This window comes from Homo sapiens, chromosome 21, assembly GCF_000001405.40.
Source record: "Homo sapiens chromosome 21, GRCh38.p14 Primary Assembly".
NCBI lineage: Eukaryota > Metazoa > Chordata > Mammalia > Primates > Hominidae > Homo > Homo sapiens.
Window position 1 is genome coordinate 38,266,903 of NC_000021.9, and position 19,032 is coordinate 38,285,934.

The window sequence follows — 19,032 nt, forward strand, 5'->3', positions numbered from 1 at the left end:
TGCAGGAGGTGGGAGTTAAACATAGGCAATGAGAAGTCATTGAATATTTTGGTTTTCTGGGTCCTGAGCTGCACTTTAGAAATACCAGTCTGGCAGTGATGATCAAGTGACTAATTCAAAGGGTATTTTGAGAGACTGAGTGAAAGGAATGAAGACCTGGACCAGCATGGTGGCTGTGGGAAGGGGCAGGAGAGACACCGGTGCAAGGGAGATTCAGCAGGTGGAATCTGGGGCTTGCACTGATTGGATACAGGAGTACAGTTGCTTAAAGAGGGAGAGGTGAGAGAATGAGGACGCCATTGTTAGGAAACAAAAATCAGGAGATGTAGCTGGATTTAGGGAGAATAATATGCCTTCAGTTTTGGATGAGTCAGTTCTGGACTGCTCTCATTCCAGGAGATGTTGGAAACAGAGACTGGATCCCTGAGGAGATGCTGTTAGTGAGCATTGATTAACACCATGGGACTCTGAATAGGCAGTAGGGTAACTCAGAGGATGCCAAGAGAGAATAGAAAGATATAATAAAGGAGGATGAGCACAAGACCTTGGGGAATATAATTACAAAGGATGGGGAAGAAGAAAAACCCACCACGCTGCAGGAGAGTGAACTCTCAGAGAGGCAGATAGATGAGCAATGAGTCTGCTGACCCACTGGTAACCAACAGTAGGAACTTTCTGAGGAAGACACAGTTAATGGCGCCACCCTTGACTCATATATCAGAGAAGAGGAGATGGAGGGAGTTGAAGGGAAGAAACAGTGGAATAGGAAGGCTTGGTAGCACCTTGCCAACTCAGTTCAGATGAAAAGCCTGAGAGAAACTGAGAGATTATCATTTGGCTGGCAGAGCAGAGTTCTCAGGGTCCTGGAAGCTGGCTGTCTTCAAGCCTATTAATGGTTAATGTTTCTCATGCTCTTTTTTGCTAAATTTGACAAACCTATTCCCCTTCCTCCTCAAAGTCAACTGAGTTATTCACTCAGTTAAATCTATCATGACTTAAAAAGTATATGCTTAGCTTGGAGAGGGGGTTACATCTGTTCTTGTAGTCACATAATTACTGGAGACATGAAGGAAGATTCCAGCAACTCAGGCGCCTTCTGAACAGGTTGAATACCTGGTTTTTATGAGCAACCCGCTTCAGTTTTCTGAGAAGCTCTGAGTAACTACAACTAAACAAGTCTATTCTTGAATATGTTTATAATAAAAAAGGAAAGATAATGCAGTTATTTGCTAATTGCTGCAATGATTAAAGCAAGATGTTTCAAGTTTATCCTTTCATAAGACCAGCAGCCTTTTGAACACAAACAGGATCTGACAAAGATAGTAATAATGAAAGCGGGAGAACAAGGAAACAATGCCAGTTTTCTTCAGAACAATCGGTTGCCACTGACTTCTAACCTACCTACAGTTTCAAGTTTCTTTGGCTGGGACTATATTCTGGTTTTTCAGTGCTGTACTGTGATTAAGCCAAACTTCAGCAAAAAAGGAAGTGCTGCATTGTAGCAGTATTGAAAGTTATGTAGGTGGATTTTTTAAAAAAAATATTACAGCCTAAATTTTCTTAGCAAAAGTCAAATGAGTAACAACACACAGTTTGGAAACATTTGGAGAGGAGAAAACAAATATCTGACAAGAGTACTTAAAATCTGAAAAAAAAAAAAAAAAAAAAAAAAAAAGAAAGTGGGAGGAGAGTGAGAAAAAGCCCCTGACAGGTAATGGTGGAAACCTGACAAATGGAAGGTCATTCTAATGAGAGAGGCGGCCTGGTCTCATGGAAAGAGACTTTGGCCTTTGGAATCTGACCTTCCTGGATGTGAATTCCAGGTGTGCAGACTCCTGGCAGCAATACTCTTGGGAAAGGTGCACTAATGTTCTGAGCTTCAATTTCTTAGTACATTATGGGGCATATGGGAAAGAGACAGAGGTGGGCTACTTCTCTCTCCACTCCAGGATGCCACCCTCCCACTGTTCCCCACCTTCCTTCTTCCCCAGGACCAGGCTGAGCTCAAGGCTTGTCCCTAAGGCAGCTGGTGAAGGAAAGGTTCGACTTGGTGGTAGAAGCCCTGGACTGGAGTCCCCACCTATGGGCTGAGGGATCCTCCACAAGTGATTCAACTTCTTAGTTTCTCACCTACAAAAGGCAGGGAAATTCCTGCCACAGGACAACAAGGAAGTTAAATGACATGATTTTTTGTGAAAGTGTTGTGGAAAGCACTTCTGTCTTCTATCTTATGAATCAGTAGGGAATGAGCATTCTCAAAATGACCAGAATGATTCCTAATTTCCTTTCTAAGGACCTGATTCCCTTTTCATACGTTCTTTTTGTTCTAAAAACAAAACAAAACAAAACTTACTTTGTAAAGAAAGCCTGAATTCCAGAGCCAGAGTCTGTCCGTTAAAAACTTTCAAGCTTTTTTTTTAAACTTATAAAAGGCGTTATACCCTATAGCCACTCAAACTTGTATAAACAAGAGTTGCAATGTGAAAAAACTCACTTGCTGGGTTTGCCTCTATGAACAACTATTGTTGTCAATGCAAATTGAATCCGAAATTACCCTTGTCATTGTTTTTTTCTGGGGTTGCTTCTTTCATTTCTGTTAAAAATACACAGAAACATTAAAAAAGTAACTATCTCCTCTGTTTTATAAGGAGAAGAAGGGATAAAGAAAAAGAAAATCAACTTGGCATGCAAGTGAGCCTTGCTCTGGAATTTGGGTGGGTCTAGGAAAAAGCACCGACCTCAGTGGAAAACATATATGGGTGTGTGGGAAATCCCTGTAAACTATAAATTGACTACACAGTGCTTAAGCTGGTGTGGAGAGAAACCACAATACTCTCTGAAACCAGAGAGGAGGGGACAGAGAGCAAGTTTTGCACGAGGAGAGCACAAAGTGTCCCTGGGAGACAGAGCTGCTGGTAATTCTTAGCAGGCTTAACTGGATCTATTGAAAGTGACCACTGTAAAACACCACTGTTGCACCCTGGGGTTCTCTGTGGGATGCCCCTACTTGTATCATGCAGGAACCCTATGGCCTGACTCTGCTTCACCCACACTTCTTCCCACCGCTCCCCAGCAAGGCCCCCCGCCCTGTTCAATTGCTCCTGTATGCTTCCCCACTTCACTGCCATTGCCTTTGCAGCTCCAATTCCTGGAAAGCATTCTTTCCCTTTTCTATTAGAATCTCATTATGTAGCTTCGAAGCCCTTCAAGGCCTGTCAAGACTCAGCTTTCCCTTCCCGATGGGGCCTTACCTCTTCTACACTTTCTAAATGTTATCTTCTCCAGGCTGAACAAAACCTAGTGTGTCTCTTTGCTACTAAGGACTAATCAGATGCTGTGTCCTGATTCATTCGGTGTTGGTGTATCCCATATCTCCAATCAGATTACGAGCCCCTGGAGGGCTGACAGCACGTTGGACTTGGCTGAGCTAGAATCAGCTCCCTTTTGCACCCTGAGCTGAGTGCATGCAGCTCAGCATTTGTAATCCTAGCCTAATGCAATGTGAAATTTATTATCTCTCTTTTTACAAATGAGGAAACTGAAGATCAGGGAGACAGTGTGACTTGTCCAAAGTCACTAGCCCAGTTGCCTTTCAGAAGGCATCTCACTCCATCTTCAGGATGACCCCAGGGGCTAGGCTTTCACACTTTAACTCCTCCTAGAAGGTCATAACCTGAAGATCTGAGATTTGAACCCAAGTCTGTCTGGCTCCTACCCTGTACCTTTCCCACTATAGCATATTGCCTCCCTATCACCAAAATGCCCAACACGAAGTTGAACATGGCATAATATCAAATGAACTTGTGATCATCCCGTTTTGTCAAAACTAAGAGAACATAAAAAAAAATCAGCAAATTTGACCAGAGCAGTGTATTTATGGCAAGACCAAGGCAAAACTTGATTCTGCATTCTTTGCATTATAGTAACAGACTGAAAAGGTTCATAAGTGTATTCATATTTAAGGGAGTGTGTAACTGTTCTACCTGGGTCAATGTAGAATTCCCTATACGTTGCATGCATCATCAGGAATTTCATATGCAGCAGATAGGCATACAGCCTGGTTTCTCCAACAGCCAAAGGCATTTCTGAGTGGCAACAACACTGATCTGGTGAAGCTGAGTCCATCTGGACATTGGGGAGCCCCAGGCCAGCAGGGTTTCTGCTAAGTGGACCTTTCCAAATCCTCTCAGGGACAAAACCTGGTTGGGCATCTTCAAGAAAAGATGCTCTTGTAAAGTTGGTGTAGCTGCTTAAATAAGCCCCGAATAGAGTCTAGTCCGTCTCTCTGTGCTTTTCTTTAAATTTCCCTTCATAGAAAGCTAAAACTTAAAGAGGTTTCAGAGAAGCTAGTCTGACCCCATCTCCCAGTATCATTGAGAAAACTGAAGCTCGGAGGGGCTGGGTCATTTGCCGGAGGTTTTGCAGGACACAGAAGAGCTTGTTCTCCTAATGTGGCCTAGAACTCTTCACCAGGCCTCCTCCTATCCCAGGTGGAAACTAAAGAGGAAAAGATGAAGCCAAACTCAGGCGGAAGCAACATAATTAAACTGGTTTATCGTTTGGCAACAGAGATCAGAGGAGTGAGTGGAAAGTGAAAATCAGTGAAACACTTGCAGTTTAAAAGAGGCATGCGATTCCTGCTTTTCCTAAGCAGTTGAAATGTGTTTATATGTCTTTCCTGGAGCTCTCTCATTGCTAATGTGGTCCTATAAGGGGAAGTCCTGGAGACTGAGCTGGGTGTATTTGAGTATTCTTCTCAATGGAAGGCAATGAGCTTGTGTGCTACACTGCTTAGGCCACACGATCCCCCAAGCCTGGGCTGCCAGACGTCGCCATCATTGTTCCATGCAGATCATGCCCATCCTGTGCAGAAGGTCACTATAGGAACACATGGCACAGGGAAGAAAACGCCCATAGAAATTCACATGGTGCTTGTCTAAACCGAAGGCAGGTGAGATCCACCCACTGTCATGGGAAGCTGCTAGCATGCTCCCATTTGTTTATAATAATTTCTCCACCGTTAGAGGCTGCTTTAAAAAGAAACGGCCAAAACCTGCGATCCGGTGCCACAATTGAGACAGAAAGCATGGGACCATGACAGTTTTAAGAATTACTAAAGTATGAGGCTTGACCAGATCATTTTTCCAAGGATCCAGAGCCCTTTAGAGAGAATTCAAGAGGGAGAATTTCTGGTGACTTCTACCACCTCTGAAGAATTAAAAAACTTACTTGTGCTGCTTTCCAGGCCTCTGTGGTAGTTAATTCTGCTTGGCAGTTTTTGTTGTCAAATAGCTTTTAAGAAATCTGGAGCTATCTCAGATATAAATACCTTAATGATGCCAGAGGACTGTCTTTCACCCATAAAAACTGAAGCCATGTGCCAGAAGCCCTCGTGGCTCAAGGGCTCTGTCCTTGGACACGGATGAGGGCAGCTGGGCGGTGGGACCGAGGCTCTGCCTGAATGCTCAGCTTCTGCAAGCTGGGGTGGAGAGTGTGTTCCTGCCTACCGGCTCAGCCAGCACAGGAGCACGTAGCCTGCAGGTGTGGGTTGTACACAGGCTTCCCCCTGCTGAGTCAGTTCCCCAGATCTCTTCATCACTTCCCCAGATCTCTGGGATCTTCAGCTGAGATTGGGCCCCAGCACCTGGACTCAAGGTAAGGCCCCTTAGGATGCTTGTAGCTGATCAATCAGGGTAGTGCAAAGGAAGAGGGGAAAAAGCCACCCAGACCTTAAAGGAGATTTCTGGAAGATCCAATCAAAGTGATTCACCTTAACCTCAGGCATGACTTTTCCCCATTATCTGCTGTTTTTAATTTCAAGTAGTATAAATCTTACTGATCTGAAGAAGACTTCTGCTTCTGAAACTACCAGCGCTTAACAATGATTGAGCCCTACTCTATGAGATTGCAAATAAAAATATATTAACCTTGGCAGGAAATCAACTGATTAATACTTATACCCTACACTCTAAAGACTGGAACCTCAATTTATCTGCATAAACAGAGGCTTTGGGTATAAAAGTAAAATGTAGTTGGTTATGCCAAAGACTGCTTTCAATAGTAATGCACCAAACATGCTTTTGAAAATAGCAATAAACTATTCATTTAGGTTAGATATACAAATAAGTAACTTTCAGAGTTAGCACTAAGTTTTAAGCCTCAAAGACTTTGATTTCAGTGACAAGATGTGTAAATGCAGCGGTTAGAAAAAGTACACATACTGAGGTTTCTTTCAAGATTATATATAGTATTATTCAAAAGTCTTATTGTATATGAAAAGTGACAAGATTTTTGCAATATGAAACAACAGTAGCTAGCTAATACTCTAGTTACCTTTACAGATTGTCTAGTTGGTCACATTATACCTTAATTTTTCAGGATCCAACCAAGGCCTGGTTAACTCTTACTGGCAATGTTTGAAAGGGATGAAAGAGGTCCTATGCATATTACTCTAAATTAATCTTAGTGCAGGAAGACAAGTCATATTTGAATAACTTTATTTTGTATCCCTAGCTACTGTCATCCTAGTATTTGAAAAGCTCCTTTTCTCCCAATGTTCAGAAAGTCATTTTCCAAACTTGCAAATATTAAAACCTATTCATGTCTAATACTTTTCTACTTGGTCTATTTCCATGTCCTGTCAATGACCTATCAATTACCCTATTCAATTACCCATGTCACTTGAGATTTCTCCCACCAGAATTTAGGTTGCATATTTTCACAGGGCAATTTATTTTAAAATCAGAATGGTCCATAAAACTAATAGCTTTGTGTGCACAGACCTAAAAGATTTGTAGTAGCTCTGCAGCTGCATTTTTGAACATCAATAGTTAAACGATCAACATAAATGTTAAAGAAGTAAATTAACTTTCAGAATTTCACGTGTGCTCTAGCATTCACCATTGACCATGCTGGAAGAAGACTTTGAGGTCATTTCATCCAACCCTCTCATTTTACAGATGAGGAAAACAGGACTAATTGATAGCTAGCAATACTAAATTATAGCTCTTCTAAAACTAGACAGCAGCGTCAGTAGGCTTCTTCATGTGCTCAATTACTGTATGGATTCCACGAGTTGATGAGCGTGCTGTGACCTTGAGCATTTACATTCTGTGGTTTTCAAATGTTTATGTTTCTAATGTGGTATTTGTAAACCTGGGCCCCAGTAACCTTTACCACTGAGGCTTTGCCAATCCCAACTCTGGGCAGCCCACCTCTTCCATATGCAGCAGTGCTTGCAGGCTGTTCCGCCTGGGCAAAGTCATGTTAGGTGTAAGCAAAGACGTGAACTAGTGTTCATGCTTGAAAACCTCACAGAGACCTGCCTGCTGGCTGAATCCTTTCTTCATCTCTTGTTGCCTCTCCTACATGTGACTCAAAAGCTAGCCAAGTTTGTTCCACATCCTTCAGCTTGTTCCTCTTACACCAAAGTGCCATACCATCATCCCCTTTAGTAAGATCACACTTCTCCAATTTCTGTCCTCCTCTACTCCTCAATAAACAGGAAGATGCTGTCTGTGGAAAATGCACGTGGAGCTCTTGCACACGTTTTCTATAACTTGTCTTCCTTCCACTTCCCCACAACTAGAATATAAGCCTCATGAGAGCAAATGCCTTGTCTGGACTGTTATCTCCCCTGTGTCTAGTATAGTCAAAAATAGTAGGTGATGGGTAAATACATGTGCAATAAATATATCCTTTCATCTTTCCTTCCTATCTTAGGGAAACAAATGTCCCTTTCTTTTCTGTCTTACCTCCCTAATAACATCAGTACTTCTTTGTCCCTCCTCCAATATTGACCTCTGAATCACGTCCTCCTTCTTGAAATCTTGCCTTCTTAATTGTCTGCTTTTATTAATTTACATAGGTGTCCAGCCATCTGGCTGGCCTTTCTCCAGTTCTTTTGCTGGAAAATCCTCTCCTCTTCTCTTTAATACAGGCAGCCTCTAAGATTGCCCCTTCAGTTGCTTTCTTCCCTTGGTATTTTTCTTTTTTTTGCAGTTCTCATTGACTCATATCTGGTCAACTTTTACCTCTAGGTACAATGATTCTTCAATTTCCACCTCCAGCCCCAAATTTAATTCCTAGATATGGACATGCTTGGAGCCAACACCACCATGTCACCTCAATACACTCTGCTTTTCATCCAAATCTTCCTTTCCATCCAGGCAGCAAACTCCAGAGTCCTTTCCACTCCTGTTCAACCTTTCTACTTCACATATGACAGGTGTGTGAATTTTACCTGGTGGCAAACCAACGTGGTGATTCTCTTGAATTCATGTATTACTTAGACAAATTCAACAGCCTCCTAAATGATCTCCTTCTAGCTGCTCTCCTCCCTCTCCATCTGTCTTGCTAGATGAGCCTGGCTTCTTTTTTCCTGCAGAAAGATCAAACTTTTCAGTTTAACCCGCATCACCTTTTAAAATTCATTGCCAGTGTAGTTCCCAATATGGCCTCATACTAACTTCAGATACCCCAGTGTATCTGAAGAAAGTAATCCCAGCTACTTGGGAGGCTGAGGCATGAGAATTGCTTGAACCGGGGAGGCAGAGGTTGCAGTGAGCCAAGATCACTCCACTGCACTCCAGCCTGGGCGACAGACCGAAACTCCGTCAAAAAAAAAAAAAAAAAAAAAAGCAAAAAGCAAATGGGAAACTTTTTTTTGAAAAGATCAGAGGCTCCCTTTTTAAAAGAGCAGAGCTCAGGCTCTTACTCACATCCCTGTGCCCCACCAAAATATTCTGATTTTATTGTCCTGTGTCAGAGCCAAGGCATTAGTTCATTTTAAAATCCCCCTAGGTGAATCTCATAGGCAGCCATGGTTGAAAGTCGCTGATAATTGATAAACCCTATGGCCCAATCAATTGGGAGTACTTGAAACATACTTTGCCACCCCATAGTTTTGCCTGGGCAATTCCCCTTGTCTGTAATCTTCTTTCTCCTATTTTTTTTTCCTACAGAAAACACATGATAACTTCTTTGATTTTTCCAGTTAGAAGGAATCAGTCCTCCTCCTGGAAATCCTTAATACCTTTTAATATATCATATTCATTCATGTGATCTAGGCAGACCTTGTGTTAGATATGGACAAAATGGAGAGAAATAAGACAAGGTCCTTGTCTTTAAGCAGCTTACAGTCTTGCCAGCTCACTGGTTACACATGAACTAGTGAGTATCAACTTTTATGATAGAAGTGTCCATGGGATACTGTTAAGGCATGAAGGAGCCTATTCTGCTTGGCATGATAACAATTTATGTATATGTCATCTCTTATATCAAATGGTATACTTTCGAGGGCTAAGATCATGCATCTCTCACCTTTACGTATTTCAAAGACCACAGTAGTATAAAATGTTTGCTGAATAAATGAGCAAATGAATGATGTTTTGGTAATTAGGAGTCACTGGGGAATAATGGCAGCTCTTAGGAAATGGTACCATAGTTCCATTCTTGGGGTAGGGCTGGGCGTGTCCCCATGGAGTTCACAGAACTATGTCATAATTTCAGTACTAAATTATGTGTGTTTTACAGTTTCTCTCAATCACCCATTCTATGTTTTATTTAAAATGGTAATAGGAATAGCATGTTAGAAACTGGGTCCTGTACTCATTAACAAAAAGAAGGGAGCAACAGACATTGGGGTCTACTTGAGGGTGGAGGGTGAGAGGAAGGAGAAGCAGAAAAGAGAACTATTGGGCACTGGGCTTAATACCTGGGTGTTGAAATAACCTTTACAACTAACCCCCATGACACAAGTTTATCAATGTGACAAACCTTCATACCCTTTTTTTGGTACCCCGAACCTAAAATAAAAGTTTAAAAAATTATATTTTAGAATATATTCAAAAAGTAGGATATTATTTCTCAAAGAAAACATCTGAATTCATACTTTAAAAATATTTTTTAAAACTTGAAGTTTGATCAAGGCATTTACATCCTAGGAGACAAAAGCAATCATTTCAGTATGCATTCTAGATTTATCAACTGCATACATATTTTAGGAAGATTTTAAGATATTTCAATATAATATCTAAAAATGACCACTTAATTTTAGTAAAAAGAGACTCCCACCTTCTGGTAATTGACAATTACTATGGTCTGAGAGTGTTTAGATTAAAAAATTGTGTGTGTGTGTGTGTGTGTAAAATTATCACAGGAAAATCAATACATCAATAGTAGCACCAAAAAAGAAAAAAAAAAGGAAAGAAACTAGGTCCTATTTTTCATGACTAAGAAGTTGACAATGGTCTTTCCAAATTAAGACTCGGCATCTTTGATTTTTGTAAACATATCCTGGAGATCGAATGTGAACATTTGATGGCTGATGGGAAGAATTGAGGAGGATTAGGGGAGCACTTGACTTTGCCATGATTCTCAAGTTAAATCCTTGGACCTCTTAAAGATGTTGTTGATGAAGCTGCTAAAATGGTCACCAGATGAATATAAACAAGTAGGACCCGCAGTAATTTCCAGGCTAATTTTGTGCACGTGCGTTTAGGGGCGAGTCAAATTAAATGAATGAGGAGCTGATGTTCATGTGAAAGTAATTACTCTCCTCCAGTAGAAATCCTAATCCTACAAGTAACTGCAGAAATAATTAATCATAACTAAGAAGCAAACCACTCTCAGGGAGAAAAGCTGTATCTGAACTTCCACGTGCTCTTGGAGGATACGGGTGATTCACGGCATAAGAGTCATCTACCAAGTCATCTGCAAGAGCGAGTGCAGCTTCCAAGAGGGTCTGAGTCAGAACAGATAAAAGGAAGTTCTTCTTAACTCAGAAGATTTCAACACTGGGGAAGCTCATTTCCCACAGAGATAGAAAAATGTGCACTATAAATCACTCTCAAAAAGCAATTTAGACAACTACGCAGGTAATGATAAATGCATGGAGAGCACTCACATGTTTTGGGTTGTGTTTTTGACCTTCATTCATTCTTTATAGATTATTAATCCACGGATTAAGTCATTGACTCATTTATAGTCATGAGTCATTAAAACTTTTCTGGAGCATCTACCACATGCCAGCAACTGTGCTACTTAGGGTACAAAGGTGGACATGGCCCAACCCCTGCCCTCAAAGAACTTCTAGGGAACACTGACTTTGCAGGCATGATTCCGTCTGCATCACGCATCAGTAAACAGCTATGTGTACTGTAGGGTATTGAGACACAATGACGTTCCCTCTGCTCAGCTCATCACCACAACCAATGTGTAGGAGCTTGCTTTTTGAGACCCAGCGGTGCTTTCTATAACTGGAAGATTCCAAGTTTCCTTTGCTTCCATTTATGCATTCAGCAGACATTAAGGCCCTGCTAGAACCTAGGCATTGGCATGTACAAGATGAGATATGGCAGCTTGCATTCCAGTGGAAGGTGGTGGGGTGTGATGGATGAAGAGCTGGCTTTTGAGTCAGACTACAATCTTAAACATTGTCGCCACTACTAGCTAGTTGTGTGACCCTAGGCAAATGCTTTAACTTATCTAGCCTCCATTTACTTATTTTTACCAGCATTACTCTGAAGTGTGGAGTTATACATACATGAGCTGCCGACACAGTACTAGTTACATATTCATTCTCAACTAGTGGCAGTTGTTGGTTGGATCATTATTATAATTAAATATACACAAGCAAAACAGATATCTCTAGTACACTGAGATAAATATTCTGGGAGACAGAAGCATAGGCAATCATGTAGAGAAAGCCCCAAACCCATGGGAACAGGTGGAGAAAGCACCTACCTAGAAAGGGTAACACCCCAAAGGATAGACATGAGAACGCTGGCCAAGACAGGAGGTGGGCTTTCGGGCAGATGGCATGGCATCAAGTCAATCAATAGAGGACTAATCCATCTGGGCAACTGCAAGTCATTCTGCATGACCTGACCAGGTAACAACCTAAGGAGTGGCTGGCACTAAGGCAGGTGGGGCCAGTTTCTGAAGGGTCAGTTTCAGGAGCTGAGGCTTTGGTTTGTAGACAATGGGGCCACTAAGCTGGGCGGCAGAGTGCTTTAGGGACACCACTGAGGAGGGACTATGAAGGATGCTATAGAGAGAGGACAACTTGAGATGGGGACCTCAATTATGAGCCTGTGCTGTCATGCAAGAAATAAAGTATGTGGATCTAAACCAAGGCAGTGTCACCCAAGAAAGAAAATGTGTGGATCTAAACCAACGCAGTGACAGTGGGAAGGGAGAAAATGGACAGCTTCAAGGGATGTTGGGGTAGACTCGGGGTGCTGAGTATTTTTCAGTGCCTGAGGGTCTACGGGAGGAAGGGAGTTGCCCTGGGTAATGGATAATGAAGCTAGGCTGGGTCTAATTTGGGGTGTTTGTGGGCAATCAAAGGGAGGAACCACACACAGTTGACTGTTGTTCTGGCAGTCTTGCAAGAGCAATCTGGAACACAAAAAGTCTAGGCTTCATGAACTACAAAGGTAACATCTGAAACCATGGGAGTAGATGCAGGAGTGTGTCTTTAGTGAAAATAAAATAGTTGGAGCATGGAGCCTTGGAGAAAATGCCACTTCAAGATTGGCAGAAGAGGAAGAACCTACAGATGGAACTGAGAAGGCATCAGAAAAGTAGAGGTCAAGTTGAGAGAAGAGAGTAGCAGCAGACTGAAATGCTATGGAAATATCAAGGAAGATAAGGAATGAAATGTATTTGCCAGCTGAGTTGTAAGTAACTCTGACCAAGTGGAGTGGTGAGCTGAGAGGTTACTCTCTTGGTTGAAGAGTAATCACCCAGCCCTCAAGGAAGTGGAAGCAAAGTATCGCTTCTGTCCTTTTTAAAGCTCTTCTCCATATCATTGACTCTGCTCCCCAAAGCTTGGCTTTTAGTGAAAGCCATTCTATTTAGACAAACTCATTGTCTCTCCTCTCAACCCCAAGACAAGCATTTTGATCTCTTTAACTCCATGGGTTTTATTACCAATGAATGAAATAGGACATGGCACACAGAGCAGACAGAAGGCCATTGCCAAGGTCTTTCAACTGGGGTCCCACTCTCAATTTTACTTCCTGAAAGTTCAATGTCTTGGCTGAAAACAGGGCTGAAGATAGATCCAAGGAAGACCACTGGGAATTGGCCAACTAGGTTTAAACTGGGGAACAACTCCCCTCAAGTGGCAATTTTAAGGGTCTTCATCCTGCCTCATTGGCTTTAATCCCTCTTGAACATGTCAAAGTGGTTGGAAGACTGAGTCCTGGTGGGCCACATTGTGTTTCTGTGGACTGCGGACTAGTTTCAGAGGAAGCACCTGTCTAACTTAACCAGGGATCACTTAGGATGAACACCAGTTACACAGTATAGAAGACATAAATATTTGAAATTTTATTTGCAGCCACTGTTGCACAGTGCAAGCTGTCTCAGAAATTAAGGCATATATATAGTTCAAATGGGACCAAAGTAGTCTTTTGGAAGTCATAATAGGGCACACATACATGAATTGTTGAGCAGACCTTGTAAATTAAGAGATTCATTGTATTCAGGCAATAGTGTGTGGGTGTGTGTTCGCTTTCTTTGGGAAAACAGCATTTGTAAGCCACTCACTCCCAACATCAGGGGCACGTCAGGGTGAGGGTATATAGAGGTAGCTGTTATTAGTGAGAATATAAGCGACGCCTGACTTAGCACTCTGTTACTGTTAGCACTACCGAATCTTTGATGACTAGGTGTGGTCAAAATCTTGGTTTCCAGCTATGTTTCCCATAAATGAAGTTTCCAGATATAAGCCAAATGCTTAAACAAAATTGCTGACTACAGGATCATTTTGTAATACTGTATGGGTGATTTATAAGCTGTGTTTTTTTAAAGAATGAAGTCATCTAGTGGCTTTGAACTTTCTCCCCATAGGTGAAGTTATAAGTCCAGCAAGCTCCTCAGTGGCTCCTTTCTCAACAGTCATGTGAGAGAAGCCAGCCTCAATTAAGCCCCACGGCATTCACTGATGGAATAAATTACCTTCTATTGTATATGTCTAGAGTGATGCTTGCTATAACCATCCATGGAAGAAATGAGAACACAGTCACTCAAACCATTTTCTGGGTTCAGTACCGTGTTGTCCAGATGAGGAACAGTGGCTGCAAAAGGCCGTTTGCTATGCAGAGTGTGAGCTTTCACCTCCAGCCTCAGCCTCGCCTGGGAGCTGGTTAGAAATGCAAATTCTCAGACCTACTGCAGACCTTTTGAATAATAATTTGCATTTAAATGAGCCCTCAGGGAATTCGTATGCAAGTTTAATCAGTATTGGTGTGAAGCAATGGATTCAAAAATTATAGCCTCTCGCAGCACACACAAGGATACTTAGGGACATACATGCACAATATATACATTTTTCGTCTTGCTCTAACAAATTACATATATTTTATTTATTTTTTTCAACTTTTATTATAGGTATGGGGTACATGTGCAGGTTTATTAAACAAGAATATTGCATGATGCCGAGGTTTGGTGTATAAATCCTGTCGTGCAGGTAGTGAGCACAGTACCTGACAGGTAGTTTTTAAAACCACCCCACAGCCCTCTAGTAGTCTGCAGTGTCTATTGTTCCCATATTTATCTCCATGTGTGCTCAGTGTTTAGCTCCTTCTATTATAAGTGAGAACATATGGTATTTGGTTTTCTGTTCCTGCATTAATTTGCTTAGGATAATGGTCTCCAGCTCCATCCATGTTGCTGCAAAGAACATGATTTAATTCTTTTTTATGGCTGCATAGTATTCTGCGGTATATTTGTACAAAATTTTCTTTATCCATTCTACATTTATGGGCACCTGGCTTGATGCCATGTATTTGCTCTAGTGAATAGTGCAGAGGTGAACATACAAATGCATGTGTCTTTTGGTAGAATGATATAGTTTCCTTTGGGAATACACCCAGTAATGGGATTGCTGGGTCAAATGACAGCTCTGTTTTAAGTTCTTTTAGAAATCTCCAGACTGCTTTCCACAGTGGCTGGACTAATTTACATTTCCATCAATAGTGTAGAAACTTTCCCTTTCTTTGCAGCCTTGGCCAGCAACTATTTTTTGACTTTTTAGTAATAGCCATTCTGACTGGTGTGAGATGATAACTCTTCGTGGTTTTGATATGCATTTCTCTAGTGATTAGTGATGCTGAGCATTTTTTCAAGTTTGTTGACTGTTTGTATATCTTCTTTTGAGAAGTGTCGGTTCATTTCCTTTGCCCATTTTTTTTAAATGGAGCAATATGTTTTTTGCTTGTTGATTTATTCAAGTTCACCATGGATTCATTTTAAAATATGTATAAGATATAAACACTTAAAAGGATAAAGTGGAAGCTACAATTGAATACTTCTATCATTTTGTCACTGTCCCTGCTTGGGTTACTGGTGTACCCCACATTGGAGACATCTGGTGTAAAGAAGCAAACAGAGCCGAAAGGAATCTTAGAACTCTTTGTCTATGATGGTCAGTGTACTGGGGAACATGAAATACACAGAGGAAGTAATTTGTTGGATGAAATTGAATATACTTATGTTTGCCCATAGTTTTTATCGGTTTTGTCATTTTGAGAGATGTACAACTAATTTTCTCTTCAAGATAGAACATTGTGGCATATTCTTTGTGCTACGAATCAGAATAGGAAGACGAAATCTTTATTTCTAATTGAATTGTTCAAATCAGTGAAATATTCTTCACCCGAACAATGTGCCTAGCTGTGGACTGGATTCCTCTCTGGGATTCCTCTCTGACCTAGAACGTTGGGCATCATAACCTTAGGCAAGTGACATTCTTACTAAATCGGACGCTGAGTCCCCTTGAATGGCATCTCTGCCCACCGTGTGCCTCCCTTAAACATTAAGTTCCTACCACATGCCAGGCCTTGTGTTTGCCACTCAGGATGAACTACTGTGCCCAGTCTATGGGGAAAGCTAAACTCCAAGACTGATCATTACAGCAGCACAGTAAGTATTATCATGAGGTGTGGACAATGAGAAGGCAGAAGAGAGGAACAAGGTGAACGCTACCTGCATGCTGGAGGAGATGACATTTGAGCGGGGCCTCGAGGGATGCGTAGGAGTTTACCAGGCATAGAGCAAAGAAGAAATATGGAATAAAGGGGTCAGCCTAAGCAAAGGTATAGGGCAGGATATCTGCTTTATCAGCAGTATCTCTGGGTGAAGTGCAAACTCTTCTAATTCAGTCAATGAAATGAAGCCTTAAGATGACTGAAAACTAGGTTCTTGGATTTGTGCAATAGATATTTGGAAATATCTCTGAGAGTAAATGATTTCATAATGTTTGGCCACAACACTGTGTGGAAAGTTTCTTTGTGTAATATAATACAGAAAGTACTTCTCATTTACAGTAAAATCTGGAATACTTGGAAATGGTCTGTGCTAGGGAAACTGAATTTTCAGATTAACTGCATAAAAATGGAAAATCTGGTTGAAAAACCTTCCTAATTTTGTTTTCCTTTAGAGAGATAACTGCTGTTAATATTTTAGAGGTGTTTTATTTTGATCTTACCTAGAGAGAGAAACAGAGAGATTACCCTGCATATTTAGCTGTATCAATTGCCTTTTAAAAAACATATTTAGCATTTTTTCATGATTTTTAAACACTGCATAATATTTCAGCCTATGAGTGTTTTATAAATTTAAAACCATTCCTATATTGTTGGTGACTCAGATTGCTTCTAATGTTTTAATATCATAATAAATATAGAGAACACTCTTGTACATTATCCTATCATACATTTCCTATTAAGTCTTAAAAGTAGACTTACTGACTCAAGCAGTCTAACATAAATAGTTTAAAACTTTGAGTATACATTGTCAAATTACTGCCTCCCTCAAAAAAGTTATGCTAGATTACTCTATCGGACACCATGCAGGAAGCTCTTCATTTCTGCAAACTCGTCAATGTAGAATGTTCACATGTCTTTTAAAATTTTCGGTAATTTGATAAGTGAAAAGTGAATTCCTGGTGCCTTTGTGTTTCTTGGACTGATGGTCCCTCCTCAGTCTCCTTTGCCTGTATCTCTGACTCTGCCTGGTCTTAAGGCTACTCAGGCTCAGTCTGGGTTGCTGCTTCCACACTACTGTCTAAGGGGGAAGCTCCTGCACTTTCATGGCTCAAATTCCACTCGTTGGCTTATGTGCTAAAGGCATCCCTCCTGTCCAGGTGTCTCTGTTGAAGGCCAGGCCCATCTGCACAGACCCTAGTGCTTACTTCTCTTTAGGTGTCTCCAGGCAGCCTCCAGTGCACACCTTCAAACCTGCACCCCAGAGGTGAGATCCTCCTTCTGCATCGGGATTCTGCACAAGCGTGAGCTCCATGCTGGTATAACACCCAAACATTCAATCTGGGTGTCCCATAACATGTGCATAATGTTAAAATTACAGAGGAAGATCCAGTGTCCTCTGAATCAGTAAGATAGCCTCCGCCCACCCCAACACACCTCATTTCCATGCCAGGAAGCCTGGAGTCATCGGTGAGACCTCCTCTTCTCTCTGCCTTGTCTTCTTAACATCCACCTGTTGGAGACGCCTGTTGACTCTGTCTGGGACCTGTCACTCAGAGCTCCTGGCTAGTAGCTCTCAAGCTACAAACACCGCCCTTGTCCATGCATCAGTAATTTCAACTCAGATTACTGAAAGTGCCGATTAAACAGACTCTCAGCATCTATGTTTGACTCTTTCCAATACATTCCCTATGCTGCGTTTAACATGATCACTTTCAAAAGCAAGTTTGATCCTTTCTCTTCCTTGAATAAAACCCCAAGATACTCCTTGTGCTCCAAGGATGGGGGTGACGGTCCTCAAGGAGCCCACAAAGCCACATGCAGGGGCATGGCATGGCTCTGCCCTTGCTCCTACCTGACACTGCTTCCCTCTCGCCTACTCAATATCCTCCTCGTTTCCTGGAAGGTGCCAAGCTCCATGCTCCAACTCCAGACTAGGACATGTTATATACCCCATGTGCTAGTCTCTCATCTATCCTTGACTTTCTCCCCAGTTCTTCCCACAAATGTCTTTAAATCACTCATCTAATGATGTATTTAATGCCTCTTTTCCCTGTTTTCTTGCAAACTACCCAAGAGCAAAAACCAAGTCACTCTTAATGCTTCATCAGCAGCATCCTGTGCCATGCTTAGCACATAGTTGGTGCTCAATAAATTCTTGCCACACAAACCAATAAATAAATGTTAAAGTGTTGAAATGTCTTTTCACCTTTTCAACATTTTTTGAATTGCGTTTCTACACACGTTGCCCACTTACGAGAATGAAGGCTCTTGTTGATTTGTGAAAACTTTATATGAACCCTCTGCTGTTCATCCGTGGTAAATGTGATTCCTTTTGATAAGTCGTATTTTATGTTTTATTTGTCGTATGCATATGACAATAACAGTTAACACTTGTGTAATGATTAATACTAATCATTATACTAATCATACGAGCAGGCAGAGTTTTATGGTGCTTTATATGTTTTTATTTCACGTGACCCTATGAGGCATAGAAATGATCATCATCGCCATTCTGCATATGAGGAAACCGAGTCTCAAAGGGGTTAAGAAAGTTGTCCAAAGTCACACAGCTGGTGTTAACAGAAGCAGGGTCCTGTGCTCTTAATCTTTACGCTATACTGCCTCTGAAGAATTGTTTAATTTTTTTTAAGTACAGAAGAGATAATGTTCAACCTGACTTTTGAAGGACAGGTGGGAGTTAACCAAGAAAGGGAGAAAATGAAGAACCTTCAGGAAGGAATTCATGTGCCAGATGTGGGCTGAGAGGGCACCCAGCTGCTCAGGAAGGGGCAAGTATATACCCAGGCTCTGTTCTGAGGTGAATAAAGCCAGAGAGGGAGCGAGAGCCAGGGCTTAAGGGTCTTTTTGGTTTTCCAAGTTGTTCAGGATTTGTCTTGTCAGCAGTGGGAGATACCGGAGGATTTATGAAAGGGAGTATTGTCTCAATTAGTACTCTAGATGAGTAAGCTTTGTCTTTCCTGGTAAGAATTATCTTGAAACCATGGCAATATAAAGTTGCATGTGACTGAGTGGT

At 41.5% G+C, this 19,032-nt stretch overlaps 1 protein-coding gene across 8 annotated transcripts in view, besides 3 other annotated features; it reads left to right on the forward strand.

The window, feature by feature from the left end:
• Window positions 1-19,032, forward strand: part of KCNJ15 (potassium inwardly rectifying channel subfamily J member 15) — a 77,432-nt gene that overhangs the window by 36,977 nt on the left and 21,423 nt on the right. Inside the window, exon 1 of one of the 8 annotated variants that reach the window (NM_170737.3) lies at window positions 5,606-5,655. The exons of the other annotated variants lie outside the window; for them this stretch is intronic. The gene's annotated coding sequence lies outside the window, so the exon portion shown is untranslated. Of the gene's footprint in view, window positions 1-5,605; window positions 5,656-19,032 lie in introns of those variants that run through there. 8 annotated transcript variants of the gene reach the window in all.
• Window positions 1,470-1,539: a silencer, noted in NCBI's record as "silent region_13310". NCBI's record gives its function as "represses an Ori minimal core promoter by ATAC-STARR-seq in GM12878 lymphoblastoid cells {active_cell/tissue: GM12878}" and the evidence as "EXISTENCE:reporter gene assay evidence [ECO:0000049][PMID:35858748]".
• Window positions 2,970-3,019: a silencer, noted in NCBI's record as "silent region_13311". NCBI's record gives its function as "represses an Ori minimal core promoter by ATAC-STARR-seq in GM12878 lymphoblastoid cells {active_cell/tissue: GM12878}" and the evidence as "EXISTENCE:reporter gene assay evidence [ECO:0000049][PMID:35858748]".
• Window positions 10,460-11,659: an enhancer, noted in NCBI's record as "MED14-independent group 3 enhancer chr21:39649284-39650483 (GRCh37/hg19 assembly coordinates)". NCBI's record gives its function as "activates an origin of replication core promoter dependent on BRD2, BRD4, P300/CBP and CDK7 cofactors, and independent of MED14, by STARR-seq in HCT116 cells {active_cell/tissue: HCT116}" and the evidence as "EXISTENCE:reporter gene assay evidence [ECO:0000049][PMID:35650434]".